A 27,123-nucleotide genomic window follows, 5' to 3' on the forward strand; every position below is an offset into this window, starting at 1 on the left:
ATTATCAGCCAACCTACCAGCTGTCTGAGGACACATGACCGAGCCTAGCCGAGATCAGCCTAGCCCAGCCTATCCCCAAAGAACCTTTCAGATGACCCACAGACTCATGAGCCAAATAAATGGCTTGAGTCATCGAAGTTTCTGGTAGTTTTTTGGGCAGCGAACACTGATAGACTATCTCATTTAGACAAAAAGTCAAGCTTCTTTTTACTAACTGTATCCTCAGTACTTAGTGCCTGGCACATGGTAGATGCACCATGAACGTTTGTTGAATATATTAATAAAGGTGTAAATGGTTTTAACATTCTATTGAGGGAAACAGGAAAAAGATAAATCAGTAAACGAATAAAATAAGTATAAAATTGGGTAACTGCTATGGGAGAAATGAATAGTAGCTGAGGTAGAGGATAAGAATGAAGGTGGAAGGGGAAACCCTCCATGGGCTCACTGTGTCTTTCAGAATGAAAGCTAAAATCCTGATGTTGGCCTCTAAGGCCCTCCCTGACCGGGCCATTACCTCACTGACCTCATCGCCTGCCACTTTTGCTGCCTCTGATATCCAACTACCTGGCCCCCCTGCTCTTTTTCCAATACTCAAGCACACTTCCACCTCAGGTCCTGGAATGTCCTTCCCTGAGACACTCACCATTCACTCCCTCTCTTTCTTCGAATCTCTGCTCAGGTATCCCCTCTTTGGGCAAGGCCCTTCTGACCACCCAGAATTCCCTAACCTCCAACCCTGCTTTATTTTCCTCCATAGGAAAGGAATTTTGTCTTACTTAATTTAACCTTAGGGCAATATTGTCTTAGTCTAGAAATTCAGCTCATGGATACAAAAATCCTCTAGGAGCCGTAACTTCCTGTCAATCCTAAAATTTAATAAGGCAAATGTTTGGCTTCGAGCCATACTGGGAATAAGGTAAGGCCTTTTGAAAAAGCCACGATGCCCAGGTGAGGGTTGAATTGATCACTGAGAACCCTACAAATGCGCTCATGGCAAGGCTGGGAATACCCTACACTTACCCTCTCGGTCATTTACTTCAGAGTCTGCGGGGCATTCTAATCCGCGTTGTCATTTGCTTTGTGCCACATTCCTAAGAGGTAGGCAGGGCAGGTTTTATCATCCTCTGTTTACAGATGAAGATAATGAAGGTCACATAGCTCAAGTGAGCTACCCAGGGCCACAGACATACAAAGTGGTAGAACCAGAATTTAAATCTTGGTTGGTCTGACTCCAAGTGTAGTATTTGTTTCACTTTTTCTTTCTTTCTTTCTTTCTTTTTTTTTTTTAACTGTTTCTGCATTCTGGGTTCTGACCAGGTGACCTTGAATCATAAAGATTCAGGGCCTGTCTTGAGCTGCTCAATATGGAAGGCATCTTTTCTCTAAAGAGTGTGAGCTCCCTGCCAAGCAGCACAGGCGCTTAATAGGCTTTCAGAGCAGCAATTCTAGAACCTCCCTTGTGGCTTTCTGATCTCCCACAGCCCTTGTGTTTGATGGTCAGGAAAGGAGAATACCCTTGGATCGTCTTATCTCCAGACCACCCCGAGGCTGGCTGGACTTAAGGGGTGAGGAAAGACAAGATGGGTGAGCAGCTGCTTTCGGCTGAAAACCAGAAAGAAATCCCAGTGTTTTTGCTTTATTTTGGTTTAAAAATCAAGTCGTATGACAATGGAAACATTTTCCTGGTTGTCCTCTCCTCTCTGCCCATGTTGACAGAAGACGGACTTGCTAATTCTGGCTGGGGTTTTTCCCTGCCTGGGCTGTTTTTCTCTTTTATCTTCATCAATTGAAGAGGGCTGCTGTGTCTTTCAAACTGTCGGAAGGTATCTGTATTTTTTTTTCTTTCACATAATTCTGTAGGTCTTTTCCCAGATATGTATTTTTCTCTCTAACTTCTAACTCGCTGAAGTTTCCGCCCATGTGACTTCCAGCGTGAGTTACCAGAAACCACAAGAGAGAGAGAGAGCGTGCAAGCCCCAAAGCGAGCGACATGTCCCTTTGGGGAGCAGTCCCTCTGCACCCCAGAGTGAGGAGGACGCAGGGGTCAGAGGTGGCTACAGGGCAGGCAGAGGAGGCACCTGTAGGGGGTGGTGGGCTGGTGGCCCAGGAGAAGTCAGGAAGGGAGCCCAGCTGGTGACAAGAGAGCCCAGAGGTGCCTGGGGCTGAGTGTGAGAGCCCGGAAGATTTCAGCCATGCCTCACAGCTCCGACAGCAGTGACTCCAGCTTCAGCCGCTCTCCTCCCCCTGGCAAACAGGTAGAGTCCTCCTTTTTCTCTCTCCTACCTTCTGATTCTCCTGGGGGATGGAAAGAGAGCCAGGCTTCCTTGTCCTGCCCAGGGAGCTGAGGATGGAGGAAGTGGCTCGTTGCACGGGCACTCTGTTAGACTTAGGACATGGAATTTGCTACTAAGCTGTGCATATTGGCAGAGATCCTCATCCTTCCACCCATTCTGCCAAAGCCCCTTTTTCTCTCCATTTTCCAAGGCTGCCTATCACCTCTGCCTCACTGGGGTTGCCACCCTAAAAAGCTTTCTAGGAAGCAAAGAGGAGGATGAACATCAAAGAATGCAGAGAAAAGAGTCTACTGTTCTCCAAGGCTGTAGAAAAGTGAGAGGAGTTTTCAAGTGGGCCGCTGGCATGCACAGCTCAAATCCTAGATATGCAGTTTCCCAGGAGACAGCCAATAGGGAAGGGGAGAAAAGGGGTTAGGGAAAAGTTAAAAAAAAAAAAAAAGAAGAAGAAGAAGAGGAAGAAGGAGGAGGAGGAGGAGAAACCCAGGCTAGCATAGAAGGATCTCTCTACTGGGGCACTGCCTCTGTTGCTAGCACAGCCAGCAAGGGGAGATGCTAGAGGTCCAGCCAATATCTCTTTGCTTGTGGCTTCTGGATAGGAGCAAGGAAATGAATGAGGAGGTGGCTCTGGAAATTTGTTGGAAGACATTTGCTGGTAGTTCATCTTAGCTCTGGGGAAACCAGAGAGACTGAGATAGGGATTGTGGGAGCATTTGGAGTCTAGATTGTGACTTCCAAGTCCAAAGGTTTTAGCTTGAGGATTACCAAAAAAGGAGTGCCCTGCCCATCTCACAGCTTCTAGGGTTTTGTTCTGCACCACACTCTTGACATCCCTTGCTGTAGGAAGCCCTCCTCTTTCTCATCCGACATGTATCCGTGGGTTAAAATTTTCTCAACCTTCATAGTTTAAAAACTTCATTCTTTCCTTAGCACAGATATCCACAAGGGTTTTCAAAATGCTGCAGCCAAAATAAAAGTATATAAATATTGAACAGGGCGTATATCCTAAGCCTCTAATAACGGAGCAGCAGGCTGGGATGAGTCTGGGTGGAGACCTCTAGAAGGCACAGAATCCAGTCTGCTGCTCAAGATGGTGTCAGAGTGGCTCTGACTGCCTGGAAGTTTGTACTTTTCTTAGGAAGGAAATTACTCATGGCTTCCATGGTAACCTGGTGCCCCATCCCCCTTAGAGGAAGAGCACTTCCTTCCTATCTATGCCAATGACCTCCTACCACAAAGGCCTGAAAGTATTGGACATGTTGGTGAGCCCAGTACTTAGTGATCCCAGAGCTTTGCCCTTGGATCTGTGCCCCTCTAGCCTGTGGGAGACGTGGAAGGGAACAGGGCATGAGTTGCCAGGACTCCTACACCTACACTGCAGCATCTGGGAGAGAACTGGAGCTAACCTCTCTGCCCAGGCACAGGACATGCCTCTCTCTGGGTGTAATTAGAGAACACCCAAAGATCCCCTTATCCTACCAAGCACCCATCTACTGCCCACCACAGCCAGGTCACCTCCACCATTAACGTTCTTTTTGGCATTGATGTGCCAGGCATTGTGCTGGGGCCATGGGGAATGTCACAGTGGCTGAGCACAACGGAAGGAAAGAGGAGGCAGATCTGGGATGCACCCTCAGCTCAGGAATGCAGCAGAAGACCACATGGGGTGCAGAGTAGCTAGCGGGGAAGGGTCTTGGAAAGCCATTGGGCTCAGCACCAGAAGATGTAGCACTCTCAGATGACCAGGAGTCCTTGGGCACACTCTTAGAGCCTCAGTTTCCTCACATATAAAATGGAAATGATGATATCAACTTCACAGCATTGGGGAATTAAACAAGAGCACTTCTGAAAGAACACTTGCCCAGAGGTTGGCATATAGTAGGCACTCAACAAAGTCTGAAAAAAAGAAAACAGCTAAAAGAACAGCAAGAAGAGCCTAAAGGCCAAAAAGTGAGAGGGCGAGGGTGGAGCAGCCCTACAGAGGAGAGGTGATAAAACACACTTCATCGCCTTAACCATTTTTTTTTTTTTTGGCCAAATACAGCTCTATTGAGTCCTCAAGTTCTCTTTTCTTTTTCCTGTAGCTATTGGTCAAAAAAGTCAGAGACCTGGGAATGTGTAAGCAGGCATGGAGAAGAGCTCTCCTTCGGGTGCAGGCTTTTGGTAAATAGAGGGATGGAGGGTTCATGCAGAGACGAAGGCATGGAAGGATGGCTGGACGGATACCACACACCACCAGAGCCTGCTTTCACTCAGAAGGGAGATGCAGACCCATGTAATCCTCCCCGTCTCTGCTTCCCAGGACTCATCTGATGATGTGAGAAGAGTTCAGAGGAGGGAGAAAAATCGTATTGCCGCCCAGAAGAGCCGACAGAGGCAGACACAGAAGGCCGACACCCTGCACCTGGTAAGTGTTCAGATCAATCTTCATCCTCGTGAGCTTTAGGCTTTGCCCTCCGCCATCTGGGAACCCTTGGACCATAGCTTTGATTCTGCTTGTGTGGGGATGTGTATGTGGGGTGGGTTAGTGGAGGGTGAGGGCCGTGGGGTGAGGTAGGGAAGGGAAGCTGTCGTGAGAGTGCTTTAAGAAGGCTCTGTAGTCCGGGCGTGGTGGCTCACACCTGTAATCCCAGCATTTTGGGAGGCCAAGGCGGGTGGGTCACCTGAGGTCAGGAGTTCGAGACCAGCCTGGCCAACATGGTGAAACCTCGTCTCTACTAAAAATACAAAAAATTAGCCAGGCATGGTGGTGCATGCCTGTAGTCCCAGCTACTTGGGAGGCTGAGGCAGGAGAATCACTTGAACAGGCAGAGGTTGCAGTGAGCCGAGATCGCGCCATTGCATTCAAACCTGGGTGATAGGAGTGAAACTTCATCTCAAAAAAAAAAAAAAAAAAATAGAAGGCTCTGTAGCAGGGAATGGGCCAGGAGGCTGAACAGAGAAATGGGCCTTTCTACCCCAGGAGGGCTCAAGGGGTGGGAGAAGGCAGAGCTGTATTGGGAAAGAATTTAGAAGGTATCAAGTGCTTTGGGGACGGCCCATTGTCTCGCAGTGCAAGGACCACACATAGTCGCATCCCTTGGCAGAGACCCAAATGCCCCTGCATTTGACACAAGGAAATTCACAGGGCGCTGTACCAGATTCCTCTTTTCAGAGCATTATTAAAGTCTTATTTTGAAATTTCTGTCTTTAATGGTATCCCAAGGGGTCTATGAAAGATGCAATTTCAAGTGCCCTTATCTGGGATGATCACCATCCTAGTTGAGTTGCCTCTAGTCCCAAATTTTTCTAGAGAAAGCTTTTACCTCTGTCTTGAGTGGTCCAGGGGCCTTGAGCAGTGCTGAACTGCAGTTCCGCCAGTGGCCAAGGCCCTAGATGGTGTTTCTAGGTTCTGGCTGTGCCCCTTATAAAGTACTGCTTCCTCCCCATTGCTCATACCTTACCACCTTACCTCTCTTCACTCTGCCCCCAGTATGGTTCTTGTTCAACCAACTCTTCACTAGTTCCTTTCTCTCCATCCCCTCATCCCCTTCCCTAGCAACTCTACCTTCCTGCCCTTGCTCCAGAAACATTCCCTTACCTCTAATAGCCTAGCAATTCCTTTCCATGGAAAAAGTGCAATTGGCACCAAAAATCAATAAGCTTGTATTTATCTGGAAGATTAGCATGATAATCAGCCAGTTAGAATGGCTGTGTTAACCGTATCAAGAATAAGTAAGTAAGATGTAGTTTTAGGGGAAATAATGCATCTTTCAGCTTTACAAGGAAACAGAGCAGACTGCACCAACAGCTCTGATTGGGTGCTTGGGTTTTATTTGAAATGTATTCAGCTTACACTCCATTGCACACTAACATTAAATTCACAGCTATTTGTTAACTTTTTGGAAAGAATGAATGAACAGAAAGTCTGTACTAACTGTGCTCAACAGTCTGAATGTCAAGTTTTTGGTGGCCCTGCTGCTTGTATGTTCTCCATGATTTCACTGTGTCCCCACATTCTGGTTTACCACCTTAAGCTTGAACATCTATGATCCTTACCTCTTTCTCTATCAGAGTCTGATTCTGATTCACTATTCTTTAGGGCAAGCAAACAGACCAATCAAAATTTAAAAGGATAAAATCTTCCTTGTGTACAAGTAGACAATGTCCTCAGACTGGCAAACTGCTGTAAGCTTTTTAAGTGTGTACCTGTTTTCTTAAGTGGAATGTAAGTATAGTTCGGCAGCTCAGCAGTCAGAACAGGGATTGAATCCCAGCCCTGCTGCCTACTATCTGTGTGACAGAGACGTTCTTGGCCTCCCTTGGGCTTGGTTTCCTTATCTAGAAAATGGAAAATGACAATAACTACCCTATACAGATCGTACATTTAAAGAGCCCAACACAATGCCTGTCATTCATAAATACTCAAAAATTTAAGTATAATAAGAGTAATAATAATTATCATAAGAAGCAAGATAATCACAAATTATACACACATTTTATATATATATGAAAACATATATACATTTTGTGTATATTTAATCACAGAAGCTCAGGGTTGAAAGGTTTCTTAAAGGCTAGAAAGTTTAGACATAAGTTTGATGCTTCAGACTTCTCTGCAACACCTCCAGCCAATGGTCCCATTGTATGCCTGGTCACTTCTAGGGCTGGAGATCTTCCTCTCTCCCAATTTATGAACAGAAGAGTCTTTCCTATGTTAAGCTGCACCCCTGTCTCCCTGTAAATTCAACTCACTGGTCTTCATCCAAACCCTTGGGGAACGTATTAATGAGGGTGACACAGATGTCTCTTTGCTGCGGCAAGGCTTTCAGCACTGAATCAGCTCTCTCCCTCTCCAAGACAAATGTCAGAGCCCAAAGAGTCAGCTCATCTAATTATACAAGTCATGTGACATTAGGGTAATCTCTAGAGCTTGAGGGTCCACAGAGCCCCAAGTCATATAGTCAACATATCCATAGCCACACCCCAGCCTCAGTTTCTAGAATGTTCCAATCTTCCCCACATCTGAACACAGATTCCTCCTCCACTGCTTTCTTTTGAGCACCACAGCATCGTCTTTACCTTTTGCCCAATGAGTAGGTCGCAGCGGAGTTGATGCAGCAAGCCTGCGGACTGCTGCCAATGCAACTTATGTTTCTTGGCTTCAGGTAGAAGCTTTTGGCAGCAACGTGTTCAATCTGCCCTACATCAAATTAGCTGTGGTTTGACATCTTCCTTTCCTCCGAGATGACAATCACCTATCTTCTCCATCCATTATCCTCTTAATTATGTCTGAGATTCAGGTGAAAAGTCTTCTGGTTTACCACCAGTGTCAGGGCTCAGTGTGTGGTTTGCCCTTGACTCCTTTCCATGCTTGGCTCCACATGCTGGGGTTGTTCTCTGGCCCTCAGACATGGCCATAGGCCTCGCCTACCAGTGCTTTACAGATGAGGGTTTGGGAGCTACTGAGAGTACCATATCAAAAAAGGACCACATTCCTATTAGGGTTCTAGCCTCATATATACTGGTATGTTTTCTTAGTTTCAACTGCTGTCACTATTATCAACCTTAAAATACTGAAACAATTATCTTGTTCCTCTAGTGAGAGTGTGGGATGCTTACTATTCGACATTTTCAGCATCTATCCTATAAATGGCTGGCACCAAGACACTGTACATCGATTGCTTTAAAAATTGACAGAGTAGGGAGAGAGCCTCTTTTTATGATTGTGTTATAAATCCCTGGCCTTGACTATCTCTGACATAAAATGGATCGGTGATTCCTTTCGTAATTGTGACATCAACAAACAATCTAATTCTGTTTTAATTCTCCTTTTGTTGAGCATCTCACACAAGCACCCTGCACACTTAGTTCCTTTTCTCCTGCAGACAACTGTAGGGTTCATTGTATATAGTACAGATGTTGATTAAAAAAGAGAAAGGCATAACTTGACCAGTTAGTTTCTAAAAGATATCAATAGCTAATAAGTGGACCTAAGATAATCAGCTGAAAAATTATTTGAAATAATAAGAGAATGCAGTCAGCTTCTAAAATTAAAACAAAATGTAATAACGTTCCTATATGCAAAACATAACCAATTAGGAAATTAATGGAAGGAAAGATCCTGTTTATAATACCAATGACAACAGCAAATGGAAGGAAGGAATAATTTAACAAAAATTATGAAGAGTGTATCCTAAATGATTTTTAAAAGATTCAAATAATTGGAAAGATATACCTTATGTAAAGTTAGCAATTTTCCTTAAGTTAATTGATAAATTTAATGAGATCCCAATAAAAAACCCAATAGGGTTTTCTGGGATTTGGGCAAGAACTAGATTAGCTATTCTAAGTTTCCAGTGAAAAAAAATCATATGACAATTGCCAGGAAAATTCTAAAGAAGAAGTATAATGAAAAAAGATTAACTGACCAACATATTAAAGTGAAACACAAATACAGAAATCAAAACAATGTGGAAAAGACAGAACATTGAACAGGATAGAATATGGAAACAGACCCAAAAACAAATTCAGATTTTAAGACCCAAATACATATTTCAACTCCTAGGACACAAGTATAAATACAAAATGGGCTGGGCACGGTGGCTCACGCTTGTAATCCTAGCACTTTGGGAGGCCAAGGTGGGCAGATCACTTGAAGTCAGGAGTTCGAGACCAGCCTGGCCAACATGGTAAATGTTAAATTTTTTAAAAAAAGGAAGCTAAAGAAACTTGAAAAGACAAATAACCATTAAAAATTTATCTTGGAATGAGGAATTATTTTCTAAATAAAACATAAAACCCTGAAGCCATAAAGGAAAAGATTGATATACATTACTTTTATTCATAAAAAGTAAAAGTTTCTTTATAGATCAAAATACTGTATGCAAAATCAAAGGCAAATGACAAGCTGAGGAAAAATATCTGTAATACATATGACCAAAAAAGGTATGTTTACTTACTATATGAGAGAGCTCTTATGAATAGGAGATGATTAACAACCCAAAAGAAAAATGAACAATGGGCCGGGCGCGGCGGCTCACGCCTTAATCCCAGCAATTTGGGAGGCCGAGGCGGGCGGATCACGAGGTCAGCAGATCGAGACCATCCTGGCTAACACAGTGAAACCCCGTCTCTACTAAAAATACAAAAAATTAGCCAGGCGTGGTGGCGGGTGCCTGTAGTCCCAGCTACTTGAGAGGCTGAGGCAGGAGAATGGCGTGAACCCGGGAGGCGGAGCTTGCAGTGAACCAAGATAGCGCCACTGCACTCCAGCCTGGGAGACAGAGCGAGACTCCGTCAAAAAAAAAAAAAAAAAAGTAAAGAAAAATGAACAATGACTATGAATAGGCAATTTACAGAAAAGAGAAATAAGTGGCAAATAAATGTGTGAAAAGATGGTAGACCTTATTTAGTTAGGAAAATGCCAATTAAAGCAGCAGTGAGGCTGGCAAAGATGAAACATGTTGTTGATACACGATGTTGCCAAGGTAATGGAGAAGCAGGCACCATCACACACAGCTAGTAGTAGAGTCTGCATAACCCTGGTAGAAGGCAATTTGCCCACGTCCATTCAAATTATAGGTGCACATACCCTGCGACTCAGCAATTTGACATCCAGGAGTGTGTTCACAAACAAATCCACACATCATACAATTCTGTACATGTAAAGATAATCATTGCTGCATTGTTTCTTATAGGAAAGACTGAACATAAGCTAAAAAAATCCACCAATAAGGGATTCAATAAATTATTGTCCATTCTGTGGAATATTGCAGATATGTTAAAATAATGAGTTACATCTGAATGTGCTAATCTGGAAGGATTATCACTTCTGTACTTTAAGTTAAAAAGGCATAAATATAGTCCATAGTTTGCTACCATTAGTTTTTTAATTTAATGTTTTATTTATTTATTTATTTTTTATTTTTAGAGACAGGGTCTCACTATGTTGCCCAGGCTGGTCTCGAACTCCTGAGCTCAAGTGATCTGCCCTGCCCACCTTGGCCTCCCAAAGTGCTGGGATTACAGGTGTGAGCAACAGCACCCAGCCCCTTCTGTGTTTTTAATAAAAAGAAAAAGTTACATATATGCATAAGTATAAATGCAAACTTTTTCAAATAGATTATAAAAAATTGTTAATGATATTTATTTCTGAAAAGTAGGACTAAAGATCTAAAGCAAGAGGGAGATACTTGGCATTCTTTACCTTTTATACAGTTTGGGATTTTTTATCACATGCTTTTATCTTTATAATATAGATATCAAAATTCTCAGCATTGATCATTACCACACATGCATTAGGAGGATTTCTTTTCTAATTTTGACATCAAACATTGAATAATCTTCCATCACGACATGGAAGAGTATTCAATCTTGACGTTATCTTTTGAACATCATACATAAATATCTCAGCCCTTGGGAGAACCAACTGTAAGTTGGGATTTGAGTGACTCTAAGGTCCACAGTACTATATGATAAAAGATGGCAAATCCGTTTCCTTTGTGTAGCCATCTTGGTTGGTTGGTCATGGCTATCTGGTGCCGTACAGCTGGAAGGATTTCAAGTCAAAGACCAGGATCAGTGGAAAAGAGAGCTGAGGTCAATTAAGAAGCTTTATTCATGAAAAGGCTAAAATCAGTGGAGTTGCCGGGAGCAGTGGCAAATAGCAGTGTTAGCCCTGAGCCGAGCTGTTGACAAGTCATATCTGGCCTGGTGGATGGAGCTGAAAGCAAGTGAGAGTAACAGCCAAGTTTGAAAGCTTGAGATTTAGGTACTGTCTTAGATGGAAGTGGGCCAGGTGCTTGCCTGGGGCTGCCTCCTGAAGGAGTCTCACACCAGTATAAGAAAAAAGAGAGGTTTACAGGCTCCAGGGATGTGCTTTGTCATATATGACAGAAAAGTCATGAGTATAAATTATGCATTAAATGAAGCTTTGAGCTAACACTGTGAGAAATACGGTATTTACAATTGGAGAAAAATTGAGTAATGGAGGAAAAGATGTTTGGGTAGCACTATTGTTCTTGGCCTTCTGAGGAGGCAGAGAAGGATGCTTACGGTCCTATTTCACTCCTGGAATTCTTTTGCTCTCTCTGGGAGACCATGCCATAATGTTTGTTGGCACAGATAAGTCACAGGTCAGGAATGTTCAGGCTAGTTCCACCCTTAAAAAGTTCAATGTAGAATCAGTGAACCATCTATGGAAAGAGATGCGACCCTTCTGTCTCCATTGCTATGAATTTCTTTTAAGAAAAAACCATGTTAATTGAACAAACGACTATGTATTAACCACTGTGCCTCAAGTGCTCTCCCTGCAGCATCTCATTTAATCTGCATAAAAGCTGTATTTTATAATTCCTTGCATTAAGTAACTTGATGGAGATGACACAGCTTGTGACTAGGTCTGTCTGACGTCAGAACCCATTTTCCTAACCATTAAGTTTTACTGCCTCTTTCTTCAAACTCTGATGAAGATGTATTCATCTTCCCTAACCTATATTTTCCTTGAATCTCTACATGAATTAATTTTTTTGTCTTTTAAGCAATATCCTCCAAAATCTACACTGTCCCCCAGCCATCATCAGGCGTGATCAAGAAAGTAAAGACATGTTTACTTTCAATACAGTATATCCATTGTACAATTGATATCATATATGTCATATATATCATGATATCAACATATATAGATAGGTACTATATATAGATAGATACAATTGGTATATCAAATGATACAATATGTCAATTGAAATCTTTTTTGAGAAGTCTGTGTAGCAATAAATGTTAACATCTTTCACAGGAATTACCTTTGACACAACAGAGTTTGAAGAAAAAATAATTTACAAAGATGCTTAGTTCATCATTATCTGTGAATAGTAAATACTTTAACAATGCTATAAAACTTGACAGGGGGCTTACAACAGAAGATGAAGCATATTATGATACATTCATACAATAAAAAAATTTATGCTGGTACTAAAAATGATTATGTAGATCTGTATTTATCAGCATAGAAAGATGTCAGTGATACAGCATTAAGTGAAAAAGGCAAATTACAAAGAGCATGCAGAGTATAACCCTTTCACGTAAAATTTGTGGGTTTTGGGCATGGTCGCATGCATAAAGAGATATCCGGAAGGATATTCTCCAAAATGCTAATAGCAGTTATGAGTGGTTGAGTTTGGGTAGTTCATCTTATTCTTGGTACTTTTCTCTCTTTTTTATTATAATGAATGTGTGCCATTTTAAAAATCAGAATTTTAAAAATTAGGCTATTTTCATTTGGGGAGGGAAAACACATCAAGGAAATCCACCACCCCTAACTGCTTGTCTTACCGATGACGGGTCGGCATGGCTAAGTTTGGGAGGCATATTGGAAATTGGGAGTCCAGCTCCATGCTGGTGTTGATGCTGTAAAGAACGACTGTTTGGGAGGCCAAGGTGGGCAGATCATGAGGTCAGGAGACTGAGACCATCCTGGCCAACACAGTGAAACCCTGTCTCTACTAAAAATGCAAAAAATTAGCCAGGCGTGGTGGCGGGCGCCTGTAGTCCCAGCTACTCGGGAGGATGAGGCAGGAGAACGGCATGAACCTGGGAGGCGGAGCTTGCAGTGAGCTGAGATCACACCACTGCACTCCAGCCAAGGCAACAGAGTGAGACTCCGTCTCAAAAAAAAAAAAAAAAAAAGAATGACTGTCTGTCTACATAGGATGATGGTCCTAGGTCACAAACTGACAGCTGCCTGTTCAGCAGATGTCTTGATGGAGCTATTCTCAGCAGCACCCAGACTTCCTTCTCTTGAGCAGAATGGGAGTCTCCCCAGAGTGCCCTTGTGCAAGCTTCTCAGAGGTTTTCTTACTCCCCTCTTTTGAACTTAGTCTAGTCCCCTGCTTCCTAGGAGGGGTGGGTTGGGTCCACAGTATAAAGGCCCCTTCAGATTGTGGGATATCTGTAGAGGGTTCCACTACGGGTTCACATGATGGCTTGTGGAGGGAATAACAATCATAATAGTCATACTACCTTGTTGATAAAATTTCAGAATTAAGTGGGAACTCAGAGATCTTCTAGGGTGACTTGCCACATTTCCAATGAGGAAACTGAGGACGCCCAAGAACCCAAACCTCTTGCCTTCCCACCAGTCTGCTTTTGTTTCATGCCACTTTGCTGAACAGAGCTTTACTAGGCAGGTGTTTACATAAGGCCTATTGCAAAGGTGGGCCAAGAAGCAGGCCATTAACCAGAACACTTGAACTGCCTAGACACTCATCAGCTCCAGAACATACGGCTATACATGAGACCAGAAAGAGAGTGAGTCCAAACTTGACAGGGGCTGAAGTGTAAATGTTTCTTTGTTTAAAGAGATTTTAAAGTTGTAATCCAAAATTAGAAAGGGCAGTGACATATTGGGGAAAATATTTGCATCAAATTAAAGAAATGAAGGTTTAATATTTATGCTACAGAAAGAAACTCTTATAAAGCAAAACATCAGGACTCCAATAGACAAGTGGGCAGAGGCAATGAACAGAAAGCTTACATAATATTTTTCCTACCAAAATGAAAATACCCTAATTTCCTATTCTGATTATGAAAACGATACACACTAAGGCAGGGTTTCTCAACCCCAGTGGAACTGATACTTCGAGTCCGATAATTCTTTGTTGTTGGGGATTGTCCTGTGCCTTGTAAAATGTAAAATTTACCCACAAGATGCCAGTAGAACACCCCCTCACCCTGCTTAGTTTGATAACCAAAAATATTTCCAGAACTTGCTAAATGTCCCTGGAAAGGCAAAATCAGTCCTAGTTGAGAACGCTACACTAAGGAGAAAGACACATGGAAAGTTGTTCTTTCTCCTTAATACTTGACAACCTGTAACATTAACATGAAATTAAGAAGCCTTCATCAAGCTAATTGGCAACAAGTAAATTATTTAAAATTATAACACCTAAATGCCAGTGAGGTTGTAGTGAAATGGATAGAAGCATTCGCTAGTGGTGACATTATATACTTGATATGACCCCTTTTCAGTAATACTTCTCAGGACTGGGAAGATTGAATGCCTCCTTTGCCTCATTCATTTCATTCCTAGGAATTTCTCCAAGGAAATCACTGAACAGAGACAAAACCCAGTGTGCATCACGATGTTCATCTCAGCATTATTTTTAATAGTGACAATTTGATAGCAACCAAGATGTCCAGCATTAGAAGACCACTTTAAGTAAATTGTGGATAATCAATTTGATGATGCAGTCATTAAAAATTATGTTGACTATGTAGATGTGACAAAGTTATGACAGAAAGCAAAATACAAATTGTATGTGTACTATGATTGAAATTTTGTAAAAATAAGTATGCATGTTTGTTCAAAAGGATGAGATGGCCAAGTGGGATGGTTCATGCCTGTAATCCCAATACATACGGAGGCCAAGGCAGGAGGATGACTTGAGACCAAGCTGGGCAACAGAGTGAGATCCTGTCTCTACAAAATATAAAAATAAAAATAAAAATAATTAGCCAGGCGTGGTAGCTTGCACCCAGCTACTTTAGAGGCTGAGGTGGGAAGATCACTTGAGCCCAGGAGGTTGAGGCTGCAGTGAGCCCTGATTACATCACTGCACTCTGGACTGGGTAATAGAGTGAGACCCTGTGTCAACAAAAAGGATGAGATCTCAATATGTGTAAATGAAAACAGCTGTATTAAGGGACTAGGATCATGGGCGTTTTTAACTTTTAAAAAATATCTTTAATGTAGTTATACTGTATTTTTTTATTTTTAAAGAAACAGAAGAAAATGGCCAAATAGAGAGCTGAAGGAACTCTGGAGGACATCAAGTACAAAGAGACAATATTACTGAGCTCGAATTTGGGGATCAGGTTTTGGTAGGAGACCTTATAATTTATACCCCAAATAGGAATACTTCGAGAGTGGAAGATGGAACTTGTAAATATTACACCAGGAAAACAGGTGTCCCAGTAAATGTCTGGTCACCCTAGACAGGGAAACCAAGAAAGATGACATGAAGCTCTTATGAAAACTCAGAAGTGATAAAGTTCAGAGTCAAGTAGAGGGGACTGGATTCCTATGACCAAAATGTGATTTCCTGCAACTGAGGACCCTGTAACTAAAAAAGGGTACTCAGCTGGCATAAGAATATGTCTTATCATTAAGAGAGTAGGATGACACAGAAAATTATAAAGCAAAGGCCATATTATCAGTACTAGAGCTGAGATCAGCGGAAGTGATTCATCTACTCAACAAATATTTATCAGCCAGGAACAGTTCGTTCTAGGCACTGAGAATATTGCAGGGACAGGACAGACAGAGTCTCTGATTTCACGAACCTTACAGTCAGTTGGAAGTCAGGCTGGAAAACAAATAAACACACTAATCACATGACATGTAAAGTGCTTCAAAGAAGATGAAATCATGCAATGTGGAAAGTGTCTAAGGGACGGGATTGGGGCAGCGATCAGGGGAGGCCTTCCTGAGGCCCTGGAATTTGAGATCAAAGGTGAATCAAAGAGGAGACTGGAAAGATCTGGGGAGAGGGTGATCTCAGCCTAGAGAGCCTTGAGGCCAAGCTGCGAGGCCAGGCAAAGGTCAGAAAGGTGCTTGGTAAGGTGGAGACCAAGTTCAAGACCATAAGGGAGTGAGGAGGAACTCAGTAATAATGGCAATTGTAGGGCTGAGCACAGTGGCTCACACCTGTAATCCCAGCACTTTGGGAGGCCGAGTTGGTTGGATCATTTGAGGCCAGGAGTTCGAGACCAGCCTGAGCAACACAGTGAAACCCCATCTCTACAAAAAAAAATTTTTTTTAAATATCCAGGCATGCACCTATGGTCCCACCTACTTGGGAGGCTGAGGCGGGAGATTTGCTTAAGTCCAAGAGGTCGAGGTTGCAGTGAGTTGTGATAGCACCACTGCACTCCAGCCTGGGCAACAGGGCAAGATCCTGTCTTTAAAATAAAATAAAATAAAATAAAATAAAATAAAATAAAGGCAATTGTGCTGCTAGGAGCAGGAACTGGATGGGGCATGTGGTGGGGACCCAACTAATTCAAACCCTGCCTGGGGGATTTCTCTGAACCTAAACTCTGATCATAAGTTGAGAAGCAATAGCACCTCACTAGGCTGTTTGACCGTTTAATTGAGAGGGCAAATGTAAGAACAAAGCAATATTGTCATTTTTTTTTTACACTGTTCCTTTGTTTAATGCAGACAGCCTGCCCTTTTCCTAGAAATCAATCAGATATATTATCCTACATGAACACACACGTTCTTCTTTCTGGTTGCTTATAAACTCTTTAAGGATATCAGTAGTTTCAGGGGCTTGGCCTTTCACAACTAGGCAAGTCTCCTTTGTTGGGTATGAATGGAGAGAGGGTCAAATTTGAACTAGGGAAATGGCACGACGAAGTTCTTAAAGTGGTTGTAATTCTGCCACTCCCACGCTGTTGGTTCAGTTTGGGGAATAAACAGAGGTTTGACCTAGGCCTTTTGAAAAAATGAATCTCTTGGATTCATTTGGAAGTATCCCAGATTTACAAAGTAGAAGCTATTAAAGTGTTTGAGTGGTGGTTAATCACTCTCTAGGAATTCTCATGGACATCACAGATTTACTCAGCTGACCCTTCTTCATAGGCACATCTCAGATTTTGGAAAATTATTCCAGATTATAAGTTGGCAGTCAAGCAACGTGATTTGATCGAACACTTACTCTATGGCAGGCACTGTCCTTGTCACTGAGAACAAAACAGTGAAGACAATAATAGCTCCTGCCCTCACAGAGCTCAACAATGTAAATGGTAAGGAAACGAAACGGTTAAAGTTATAATTAATGAAACACGAATAGATCCCTGAGCTCTTGCCTTTCCATTATATGAATGAACTGTGCTGGACTATTTAGAATTGTTTCCACCAATTTAAGAATATAATAGTAGTGTGCTTAAATGGACATTTTGTTTTAGAAATTTTTTTAACTAGAAATAGTCTCCCAACTCTTTAAATTTTTTAATATTATACTATAAATGATAAAATAAAATACATATTTAATAAAATGAAAATATGTAAAAATATAAACTCTTTAAGGATATCAGTAGTTTCAGGGGCTTGGCCTTTCACAACTGGGCAAGTCTCACAAATTTAATTTGTTTGTTAACAAACAAATTTAATAAAATCAAACACTATATAGTTATGTTATATTTTTATTATTTTGAGATAAGGTTTCACTCTTTTCCCAGGCTGGAGTGCAGTGGTGCGATCATGGCTGACTGCAGCCTCCACCTCCCAGGCACAAATGATCCTCCCACCTTGGCCTCCCAAATAGCTGGGACTACAGGTGTGTGCCACTATGCCTGGTTAACTTTTAAATTTTTTGTAAAGATTGGGTATCACTATGTTGCCCAGGCTGGTCTCAAACTTCCGGGCTCAAATGACCCTCCTGCCAAAGAAGCCTCCCAAAGTGCTAGGATTACAGCAACTGCACCTGGCCTTATGTTATTATTAAAAGGAATCCACTATGAACATGATTTTTTGCCCATTTGGCTCACTTAGGAAGCATTTTTAAAGTCTTGATGCCTGCAACCACTCCAGAACAATTAAATTGGAACCTCTGGGGGTCTGGCATCCAGGAATCCAGACTGTTTAAGGCTCTCCGGGTGCTGGCAGTGTGCACAGCCAGGGTTGAGAATCAGAAGCAGTACATTTGCAGCCTATCAGGTCTGTACCTGAATATGTGGAGTGAGTAGAATGTGTGGAGTGAGCAGAATGTGTGGAGTGAGTGTGGGGCAATTGTGTGGGTAAGTACACAGATACTCTGTCACATACAGTGGCCTGATGGCTTAAAACAAAACAAACGGCCAGGTGCGGTGGCTCACGCCTGTAATCCCAACACTTTGGGAGCCCGAGGCGGGTGGATCACGAGGTCAGGAGATCGAGACCATCCTGGCTAACACGGTGAAACCATGTCTCTACTAAAAATACAAAAAATTAGCCGGGCATGGTGGCGGGTGCCCGTAGTCCCAGCTACTAGGGAGGCTGAGGCAGGAGAATGGCATGAACCCGGGAGGCGGAGCTTGCAATGAGCCGAGATCGTGCCACTGCACTCCAGCCTGGGCGACAGAGCGAGACACGGTCTCAAAAAACAAACAAACAAACAAACAAACTATTCAAACCCTTGCTTTGATGGCAGTTATTATTTGTTTTGTTGTTTGGTTTTGAACATTGATAATCTTGCTAGTGGTAACCTTTGTAACTCGAAGCATCAGTATCAGCCAAGATTGCATGCATTCAGAGACAAGTGAGAGACCAGCCATCAAATGAGGAATCAACAAATCATGGCCTACTTTTCTCATGTAACAAGAAGTTCAAAAGTGGAGAGACCAGGCTACAGCAAGGAAGAACCAAGCTCCTTCTCTCTAAGCAGCCATCCTCAGTATGAGGCTTTCATTCTCTAGGCTGTGAGATGGGTGCCGAGCCTCTCGGCATCAGTCTATGTTGAAGGAAGGAAGCCTTTGTCCTTATGAGCAGGCTGTGCCTTTTTGGTAGGAAGGGAAGCTCTGCCTTCACCTCCCTCCCGCCCATCAGGTACTTCTGCTTACGTATCTTTGGTCAGAATTCTGTCACATGGCTACCCCTAGCTACAAGGTAAGGTAAGCTGGAATTTTTTTTTTTTTTTTTTTTTTTTTTTAGCAATTCTTTTCCCAGTCTTTCTAGAGGAAGGCAAGGCAGAAGGGGTTTGGGATGGACGCTGAATGAACCAAACTATAGTTTTTTTCACATTTGAGGGCAATGAAATCATAGTCTTGAAAACCAAGGACCAGGCGATAGCCTTTTCACCCTGTGACTAGACAGGTCCCTGAGGGCACGGCTGATGTGGCCAATCTTCTGTAAATGCAAAGGTGCTTATGGCCCTAGAGCTTCAGCTCTAAGACATGAAAGTGAAGGTTCCTCCAGAATCACACACGTGCATTATTCAGCGCAAAGATCTGTGGTTTGGTGATTCTTCTTCTCCTTTCATAAGGTGAGAGGCAGCAGTTGGGGTGAATTTCCCCAGGAATGGTGGGAGATGTGGGCCTAGATCCTCCCGCTGCTTGGGAAGAGTCGTACTTTTCAGTTGGAAGCCTGCTCCAGGAATGGCGGGCTCCACCCTCTGCATGTGACGTACAGGGGCTGGTAACTGATGGAGCCTGAACATATATCTGGGTGTGAGGGATAAGCTTCGAACGCCACTTAAGTGTAGGTGGGAGCCAAAAGGTCACCCTGCCAATACATGATTACATGTCCTGTTGAGGAGAAAATACACAGGGACTATTTTCACCCTTCTGGAAATTGTGATTAGAAAATGCAAGGAGAAGGCCAAGACACTAAACTGGAGCTGGTAGGGAGGAAGCCTCAGCCCTGCTCAGGGTGCCTGGACAGTCCCCACCAGGGCCCAGCTAGGAAATGCCAGCCTTGTCCTTGGTCTTCGTCCCTAATGGCTCCCGGCGGGTGAGGGAACTGCCTGGGGATTCCCCATCGTTGAAGCGCTCTGTGAGTGACCCCCTCCTAAGCCCCTCCAGTAGGGGATTTCCCAGAATGTTCCCACGCCCCCAGGAAGCCTCTTCCTTAGCCACCCCCAAGCTGCTTGCGGTTCATGGTAGAGGTAGGTGGCATCAAATGACCCCACAGGTGAGGGATTTGCCTGAGGTGGGAAAAGAGGGAAGATAAAATTGGAAAGCCACCGGGGCTGAGGAATTATCTCATAGGAGAGAACTGTCAAACAGTATAACGTTTAAACAGACTTTAAAGGCAAGAAAGGATGGAGGGCACAGACTCTGAAGCCAGAGTGCCTCAATTCAAGTACCGGTGCTGCAACTTCCAAGCTGCGTGATCTTGAGCCAGTGACTTAACTTCTCTGTTCCTCTGTTTTTCCTCTTCTGTAAAACGGAGATAATATTTTCTACCACACAAGTTTGTTGAAAATATCAAATGTAATGATAACCATAAAATACTTAAAAGAGTGATTGGCACACGGAAGTATTCAATAAATGTTAGTTATTGGCCAGGCATGGATGATTCACGCCTGAAATCCCAGAACTTTGGGAGGCTGAGGCAGGCGGATCACTTGCGGTCAGAAGTTCAAAACCAGCCTGGCCAACATGGTGAAACCCCGTCTCTACTAGAAATACAAAAAGTTAGCCAAGTGTATTGGCGGGCACCTGTAACCCCAGCTACCCAGAAGGCTGAGGTGGGGAGAATTGCTTGAACCAGGGAGGCAGAGGTTGCGGTGAGCTGAGATTGCACCACTGCACTCCCAGTCTGGGCAACAGAGAGAGACTCTGTCTCAAAAATTAAATAAACAAATAAATGATAGTTAAGTTAACCTAGGCTATTTTTTTAAAAAAATTTTGGTTTCTATCCACCTTTTTCGTATAAATTGAGCCAGGTTACACCTTAGACCTATTAGATCAGAATCAGGCATCAGGATTGCTAAAGCTCCCCAGGGGACCCCAGTGTGTGGATGAGGTTGAGAATCATTGTTTTGGTCCAGTCTTTCCATTTTAAAGTGAGGCAACTGGAGCTGAATAGGGAAATCGAGTCACTGAGGATCACCCAGCCAGGACCAGGGCCCAAGTTCCTATTCCCATTTACCGCTGATGGAGCTCACCGTGGTCATGAGTTCAGGACCTGGCTCTGTGTCTGGAGGAAGGTCTGGCCTCGAGTCAGCCCTTGTCCAGAATATCTGGCCAGGTGACCCCCTCTCCATGCAGCCCAGGAGGCAGATGGTCAGCTCTATGATTGGAAGAATGTGAGTGACTCAGGGATCTTGTGTTGTGTTGTGTTGTGTGTGGGTCACCAAAACCGAGACCCAGCTTTCTCCTGGGAGACAACAGGGTAGCCAAGGACTTATTTTTTTGTTTTGTTTTGTTTTGTTTTTTGAGACAGAGTCTTGCTGGGTTGCCCAGGCTGAACTACAATGGTAAAATCTTGGCTCACTGCAACTTCTGCCTCCCAGGTTCAAGTGATTCTCCTGCCTCAGCCTCCGGAGTTGCTGGGACTACAGGCATGCGCCACCACGCCCGGCTAATTTTTGTATTTTTTGTAGAGACAGGGCTTCACCATGCTGGCCAGGCTGGTCTTGAATTCCTGACCTCAAGTGATCTGCCCACCTCAGCCTCCCAAAGTGCTGGGATTACAGGCGTGAGCCACAGCACCTGGCCAACTTTCTAGTGTTCTCGGGAGACCTTTGCCCACTCAAGTCTCCAGTCTCTCGGGGGAAGCAGTCAGTGTGAGAGAAGGAACACAGGGCCCCGAGCCAAGCCCTGCTCTGCGCCTCCCTCGCGGGCAATGAGTCTTTGCATCAAACACTCAAAGTTTCTGAACTTCTGAGAAAACAAGTGCCTTGAGGTGAATCCTATAGCACAGCTGTCACCAGCCTGTGGTCATTTTGGAGGGTATGTGGCATAGGTTTGTCCCAGGGTCTCAGTTGTCCTCATCTGTAGAGTGGGGATAATAACAGCTGACCTTCCCTATCCCACACAGAGCGTTATTGTGAGGAGTCTGATGGACCTGGATGAATTCTGAATAGGAGAAAGATGGGTACATGGATGCCCAAATGCAGGCTCACCCCCACCCCTCTCAGTAGCAGAAGACATGCATATGGGAGAAGCTGCATTTCCTCCCAGCCTCACTGTGCTCTAGGTGTCCAGCCCTCATTGTTAGGGGATGTCACTGTTGTACCTCTGGATAAACAGCTGCTCTCATGCCACCTTTGCCAGTTGTCCCTTCAGCTGGGCGAGCCCTTTCCAGGGCATGACTGCCCCAAGGAGGGCCAGAGGGGACTGGGCAATAGCAGGGACATGGAGGGACGAGGCCCCAGATCAGCCACTTCCTCCTGCAAGGGAAGTCAAACCCTTTCTCTCATAAGTGTCAGGCTGGCTGCACGGTCCCTGGGCTGGCAGGGCAGGTTTCTTGGGGGCCCTAGCAGGAAGCACTCTTGCTTCCCAAGGTAAAGACAAGTTTCTTATCACTGGCGGTGGTTTTCTGGTTAGAGGCAGCAGGCAGCGGTTACAAACTTTGCCTAGAGCTCTGGGATCTGCAAGCCAGGGAGGGGGAGGCAGACGACAGAGCTAGAGTGAGCTCAGCAGAGCTTGCTTAGGGAGGAAGGACCCGCTGTCACTTCCCGAAAGCTGGGCCAGCCTCTAGGCGGGGAGAAGGTCAGAGTGGCCCTCCCTTCTGCCTCGGGGTTTGCCCAGGCTCTTCAGAGCACAGAATTTACAGTAAATGTTGTCACCAGTGGAAACTCTCAGAGGGGGCGAAGAAAAGGGCTAGAGGAAGGAGCCAGGACTCCCGGCCCCCAGTTCCCGTCTTACCAACACCCCCTAGTCTCATCGTGTTGCTTGATCTTACCTTTCGGTAAAGAGGGGATGCCCTCCTTCTGGGATGTGCCAGGAAATACCCAAATGGTAAAATGAATGAGCCGGCCACACCTTGCAGAAGGCAGGGCTGTGACTCCATCATCGTGGCTCTTGATAACTCCTCTGCCCCGTTTTAGAGGGGCTTCCTTTGTACTGACCTTGGCACACTTTCTAGCTCAGAGCCCCATTCAAGAAATGCCAGGTTGAGGCTGAGCATGCTTGTGTCTGTCCTTCACAGATGATGGAACCTGGCTTGATGAGCAAGGCCATGTTGGTATATGCTTCTCTGCCATTTAGAAAGACCCCCCCCAGGATGTGGGGTTTAAGATGATTGACAGTATAACCGATTAACCTCATTAGCCTACAGCTCATGCACCTGATGGATTCGTTAGGGCAAATTTTATTTTATTATTTTATTTTATTTTTTGAGAGAGGACCTCACTCCATCAGTGAGGCTGGAGTGCAGTGGCATGATCATGGCTCACTGCAGCCTCCAACCCCTGGTGCTCCATAGCTAATTTTCTTTTATTTTTATTATTGTAGATACTGGGTCTCAATAATGTTGCACAGGCTGGTCTTAAACTCCTGGGCTCTCAGGAGGTAGAGGTTGCAGTGAGCTGAGATCGCACCATTGTACTCCAGCCTGGGAGACAGAGCAAGACTGTCTCAAAAAAAAAAACCCAAAAAACCAAAAAACTGCTGGGCTCAAGCGATCCTCTCACCTCGGCCTCCCAAAGTGCTGGGATTATAGGTGTGAGCCACTGCACCCAGCCTATTTAGGGCAAATTTTAAATGTCAAGTTATCTTACATCTGCTCACCACCCACCCTATTTTTGAGTTACCTTCTTCATTCCAGCAGATGATGTCATAAGTCTGTCAGTCAACAAACATCTGAGTTCATACTATGTGCCAGGCATTGAGCCAGGCATTAACAAATAGGCATTTAATAAGTGCTTGAATAATTAAAACAAATTTAAAATAATATTTAACTAGTGCTTTCCAACTTGCCTGATCATTAGAATGACCTGTGGCACTAGTTAAAAATCCAAATTTCACTCCCTAGTAGTCTAGTGGCTAGGATTTAAAAAAAAAATTATTATTATTTTTTTAATTCAGCTCTGCAGCCAGGCATGGTGGCTCACGCCTGTAATCCCAGCACTTTGGGAGACCAAGGTGGGCAGATCCCCTGAGGTCAGGAGTTCAAGACCAGCCTGGCCAACATGGTGAAACCCCGTCTCTACTAAAAATACAAAAACTAGCCAGGCGTGGTGGTGCCTGCCTGTAATCCCAGCAACTCGGGAGGTTGAGGCAGGAGAACTGCTTGAACCTGGGAGGCAGAGGTTGCAGTGAGCCAAGATCACACTACTGCACTCCAGCCTGGGTGACAGAGTGAGACTGTCTCAAAAAAAAAAAAAAAAAAAAAAAAATTCAGATCTGCAGACTTCACTCCGCAAATCCCAAAACCACTGATTCACATTCCTAGATTTTAGGATGGGCCTGAAATTCTATTCTTAACAAGCCTTCAAATTAATTCTCATGATATGGCAAGTTTGGGAAATACTGACCTAATCCAAATAGATTTAGAAAGGTAAGACCTGGTCTCCAAATATCAGGTTGCCTTTTGAACTGAAATTTTTTTTTTTTTTTTTTTTTTGCATCTCCAATGATATTTGCCTTTCCTCTGTGGTTACCAATGCTTAGCAGAGAAAGTCTGTTTGGTTGAGTCGAATAATGTAAACCTTAAAATTATACCGGAATTGCGATCTCCTGGGCTTTCTGAGGATGGGATTGCTTTTCCATAATTGCTAATTACCAGATTGCAATTGTTGATTAATTAATGATGTGATCAGAAATCAGCACTTCTTAGCAGGCATTTTTCTGATTAGCATGTATTTGATGGTTCCCCCAAGCAACAGGGAAAAGAGTTTCCAGAAAAAAGAGAAGCTCACAGGCTTGGGACACCCCCAAAATACCGTCAGAATGCTTTCTGGTAGGCCGGACAGGGTGGAACAAAACGTTGTAGCAGACTTTGACCATTTAGTATTTATTTATTTCATTTTTATTTTTATTTTTATTTTTGAGATGGAGTCTTGCTTTGTCACCCAGGCTGGAGTGCAGTGGCATGATCTCGGCTCACTGCAGCCTCTGCCTCCTGGGTTTCAGCAATTCTCTTCCCCGAGCCTCCCGGGTAGCTGGGATTACAGGTGTGCACCACCACGCCTGGTTAATTTTTTTTTTTTTTTTTTTTTGTATTTTTAGAGACAGGGTTTCACCATGTTGGCCAGGCTGGTCTCGAACTCCTGACTTCAGGTGATCCACCCACCTCCGCCTCCCAAAATGCTAGGATTATAGGCATGAGCCACCGCACCTGGCCCCATTTACTATTTATAAAGACCCTGAGCATTCTAGAATCTGGGTGCAGTAGACAAGTATCCAGTGACTTTATTTGTAAGACGAAATGCAGACACCGGGAGCTTTTGGAAAACACGTGGCATAACACAGTGGAAAAGAGTGAAACTGGTGTAAGACGTTCTCACAAACGACCTTCCATTTCCTTAGGCTCTGGCCTGCCAGCTGCTTTCCCTTGCTGTATTCCCGCCACCTCCCACCCACACACCCTCACAGAGACCCCTACATGCATACACGCAGAGGAACACACTCACACACACCCCTCTATCAGGTTGAACCATATGAAATTGCTTTTTTGCCGGGAGGAGAGATGTAGTCTTGCTGTGTTGCCCAGGCTGGAGTGCAGTGGCTCAATCTCGGCTCACTGCAACCTCTGCCTCCCTGGTTCAAGTAATGCTTCTGTTTCAGCCTCCTGAGTAGCTGGGACTACAGGCGCACTGCCACACCCAGCTAATTTCTGTTTTTGTATTTTAGTAGAGACAGGGTTTTGCCACGTTGCCCAGGCTGGTCTCAAACTCCCCACCTCAGGCAATCCGCCCGCCTCGGCCTCCTAAAGGGCTAGGATTACAGGGGTAAGCCACCGCGCCCGGCCTGAAATTGCTATTCTTATAGGTCACAACAGACAAATATCAGCAGCTTCACGTGGTTCAGCCTCATATCTATGTGTATACATGCACACCCACCCATGTGCTTACGTAAACGCGCCCATACACACCTACAAACATATATACACTTGTGCACACATTCACACGTGCAGGAAAATTCTCTGGTGCCCTTCTCCATGGCTGTGCTAGTGAACAACTAATCTGGCCCCTCCTGTGTCCCTCCGCACCCCACCCACCTTGCCTCCTTCCTAGACACTAACCTCCGGTGCTGATCCCCACCCCTACAGGAGAGCGAAGACCTGGAGAAACAGAACGCGGCTCTACGCAAGGAGATCAAGCAGCTCACAGAGGAACTGAAGTACTTCACGTCGGTGCTGAACAGCCACGAGCCCCTGTGCTCGGTGCTGGCCGCCAGCACGCCCTCGCCCCCCGAGGTGGTGTACAGCGCCCACGCATTCCACCAACCTCATGTCAGCTCCCCGCGCTTCCAGCCCTGAGCTTCCGATGCGGGGAGAGCAGAGCCTCGGGAGGGGCACACAGACTGTGGCAGAGCTGCGCCCATCCCGCAGAGGCCCCTGTCCACCTGGAGACCCGGAGACAGAGGCCTGGACAAGGAGTGAACACGGGAACTGTCACGACTGGAAGGGCGTGAGGCCTCCCAGCAGTGCCGCAGCGTTTCGAGGGGCGTGTGCTGGACCCCACCACTGTGGGTTGCAGGCCCAATGCAGAAGAGTATTAAGAAAGATGCTCAAGTCCCATGGCACAGAGCAAGGCGGGCAGGGAACGGTTATTTTTCTAAATAAATGCTTTAAAAGAAACCAGTCTGACAAGGCAGTTTCTCTCTTTCACCCTGTCCCTTGACACTCTAAATTCTGCGATGTTGGGACCTTCTTTGTTTTTTGGACTCTAGTACCCTCAAAGAGCTCTAGGGACTCCACTAACAGCTCCTCTTTTCCATGGTTTATTGATGTACTTGGGAAGCTTTCAATTCCTTCTCTAGGTGTCTCCTTCTCCTTCTCCTTCTCCTTCTCCTCCTCCTCCTCCTCCTTTCTCCTCCTCCTCCTCTTCTCCCCCTTCTCCTCCTCCTCCTCCTTCTTCTTGACAGAATTTCTCAGATCTTGGCTCAGGCTGGAGTGCAGTGGTACGATCTCCGCTCACTGCAACCTCCGACTCCCAGGTTCAAGAGACCCTCTTGCTTCAGCCTCCCTAGCAGCTGAGACTACAGGCACGCACCACTATGCCCAGCTAATTTTTTTATTTTTAGTAGAGACAAGGTTTCACCATGTTGGTCAGGCTGGTCTCGAACTCCTGGCCTGAAGTGATCCACCCGCCTGGGCCTCCAAAGTGCTGGGATTACAGGCATGAGTCACCATGCCCAGCCTAGGTGTCTTCTGGATTGCCCTCCCATGCTCCCCTCACGGTGACCTCCCACCTTC

At 44.6% G+C, this 27,123-nt stretch overlaps 1 protein-coding gene across 1 annotated transcript, besides 6 other annotated features; it reads left to right on the plus strand.

Moving 5' to 3' along the window:
• Window positions 1,950-2,279: an enhancer, noted in NCBI's record as "active region_8752". NCBI's record gives its function as "activates an Ori minimal core promoter by ATAC-STARR-seq in GM12878 lymphoblastoid cells {active_cell/tissue: GM12878}" and the evidence as "EXISTENCE:reporter gene assay evidence [ECO:0000049][PMID:35858748]".
• BATF (basic leucine zipper ATF-like transcription factor) lies at window positions 1,982-26,505 on the plus strand. The gene is made up of 3 exons (NM_006399.5): window positions 1,982-2,258; window positions 4,597-4,701; window positions 25,975-26,505. The coding sequence occupies exons 1-3, from the start codon at window positions 2,196-2,198 to the stop codon at window positions 26,182-26,184; spliced, it is 378 nt and encodes a 125-aa protein (NP_006390.1). The 5' UTR covers window positions 1,982-2,195; the 3' UTR covers window positions 26,185-26,505.
• Window positions 13,115-13,184: an enhancer, noted in NCBI's record as "active region_8753". NCBI's record gives its function as "activates an Ori minimal core promoter by ATAC-STARR-seq in GM12878 lymphoblastoid cells {active_cell/tissue: GM12878}" and the evidence as "EXISTENCE:reporter gene assay evidence [ECO:0000049][PMID:35858748]".
• Window positions 18,153-18,367: a silencer, noted in NCBI's record as "fragment chr14:76004983-76005197 (GRCh37/hg19 assembly coordinates)". NCBI's record gives its function as "represses an EF-1alpha promoter that drives an FKBP-Casp9 reporter gene in an ReSE screen in K562 erythroleukemia cells {active_cell/tissue: K562}" and the evidence as "EXISTENCE:reporter gene assay evidence [ECO:0000049][PMID:32094911]".
• Window positions 18,598-18,647: an enhancer, noted in NCBI's record as "active region_8754". NCBI's record gives its function as "activates an Ori minimal core promoter by ATAC-STARR-seq in GM12878 lymphoblastoid cells {active_cell/tissue: GM12878}" and the evidence as "EXISTENCE:reporter gene assay evidence [ECO:0000049][PMID:35858748]".
• Window positions 18,718-18,777: an enhancer, noted in NCBI's record as "active region_8755". NCBI's record gives its function as "activates an Ori minimal core promoter by ATAC-STARR-seq in GM12878 lymphoblastoid cells {active_cell/tissue: GM12878}" and the evidence as "EXISTENCE:reporter gene assay evidence [ECO:0000049][PMID:35858748]".
• Window positions 19,068-19,117: an enhancer, noted in NCBI's record as "active region_8756". NCBI's record gives its function as "activates an Ori minimal core promoter by ATAC-STARR-seq in GM12878 lymphoblastoid cells {active_cell/tissue: GM12878}" and the evidence as "EXISTENCE:reporter gene assay evidence [ECO:0000049][PMID:35858748]".
• Window positions 26,506-27,123: the final 618 nt, after the last annotated feature.

This window comes from Homo sapiens, chromosome 14, assembly GCF_000001405.40.
Source record: "Homo sapiens chromosome 14, GRCh38.p14 Primary Assembly".
Lineage (NCBI taxonomy): Eukaryota > Metazoa > Chordata > Mammalia > Primates > Hominidae > Homo > Homo sapiens.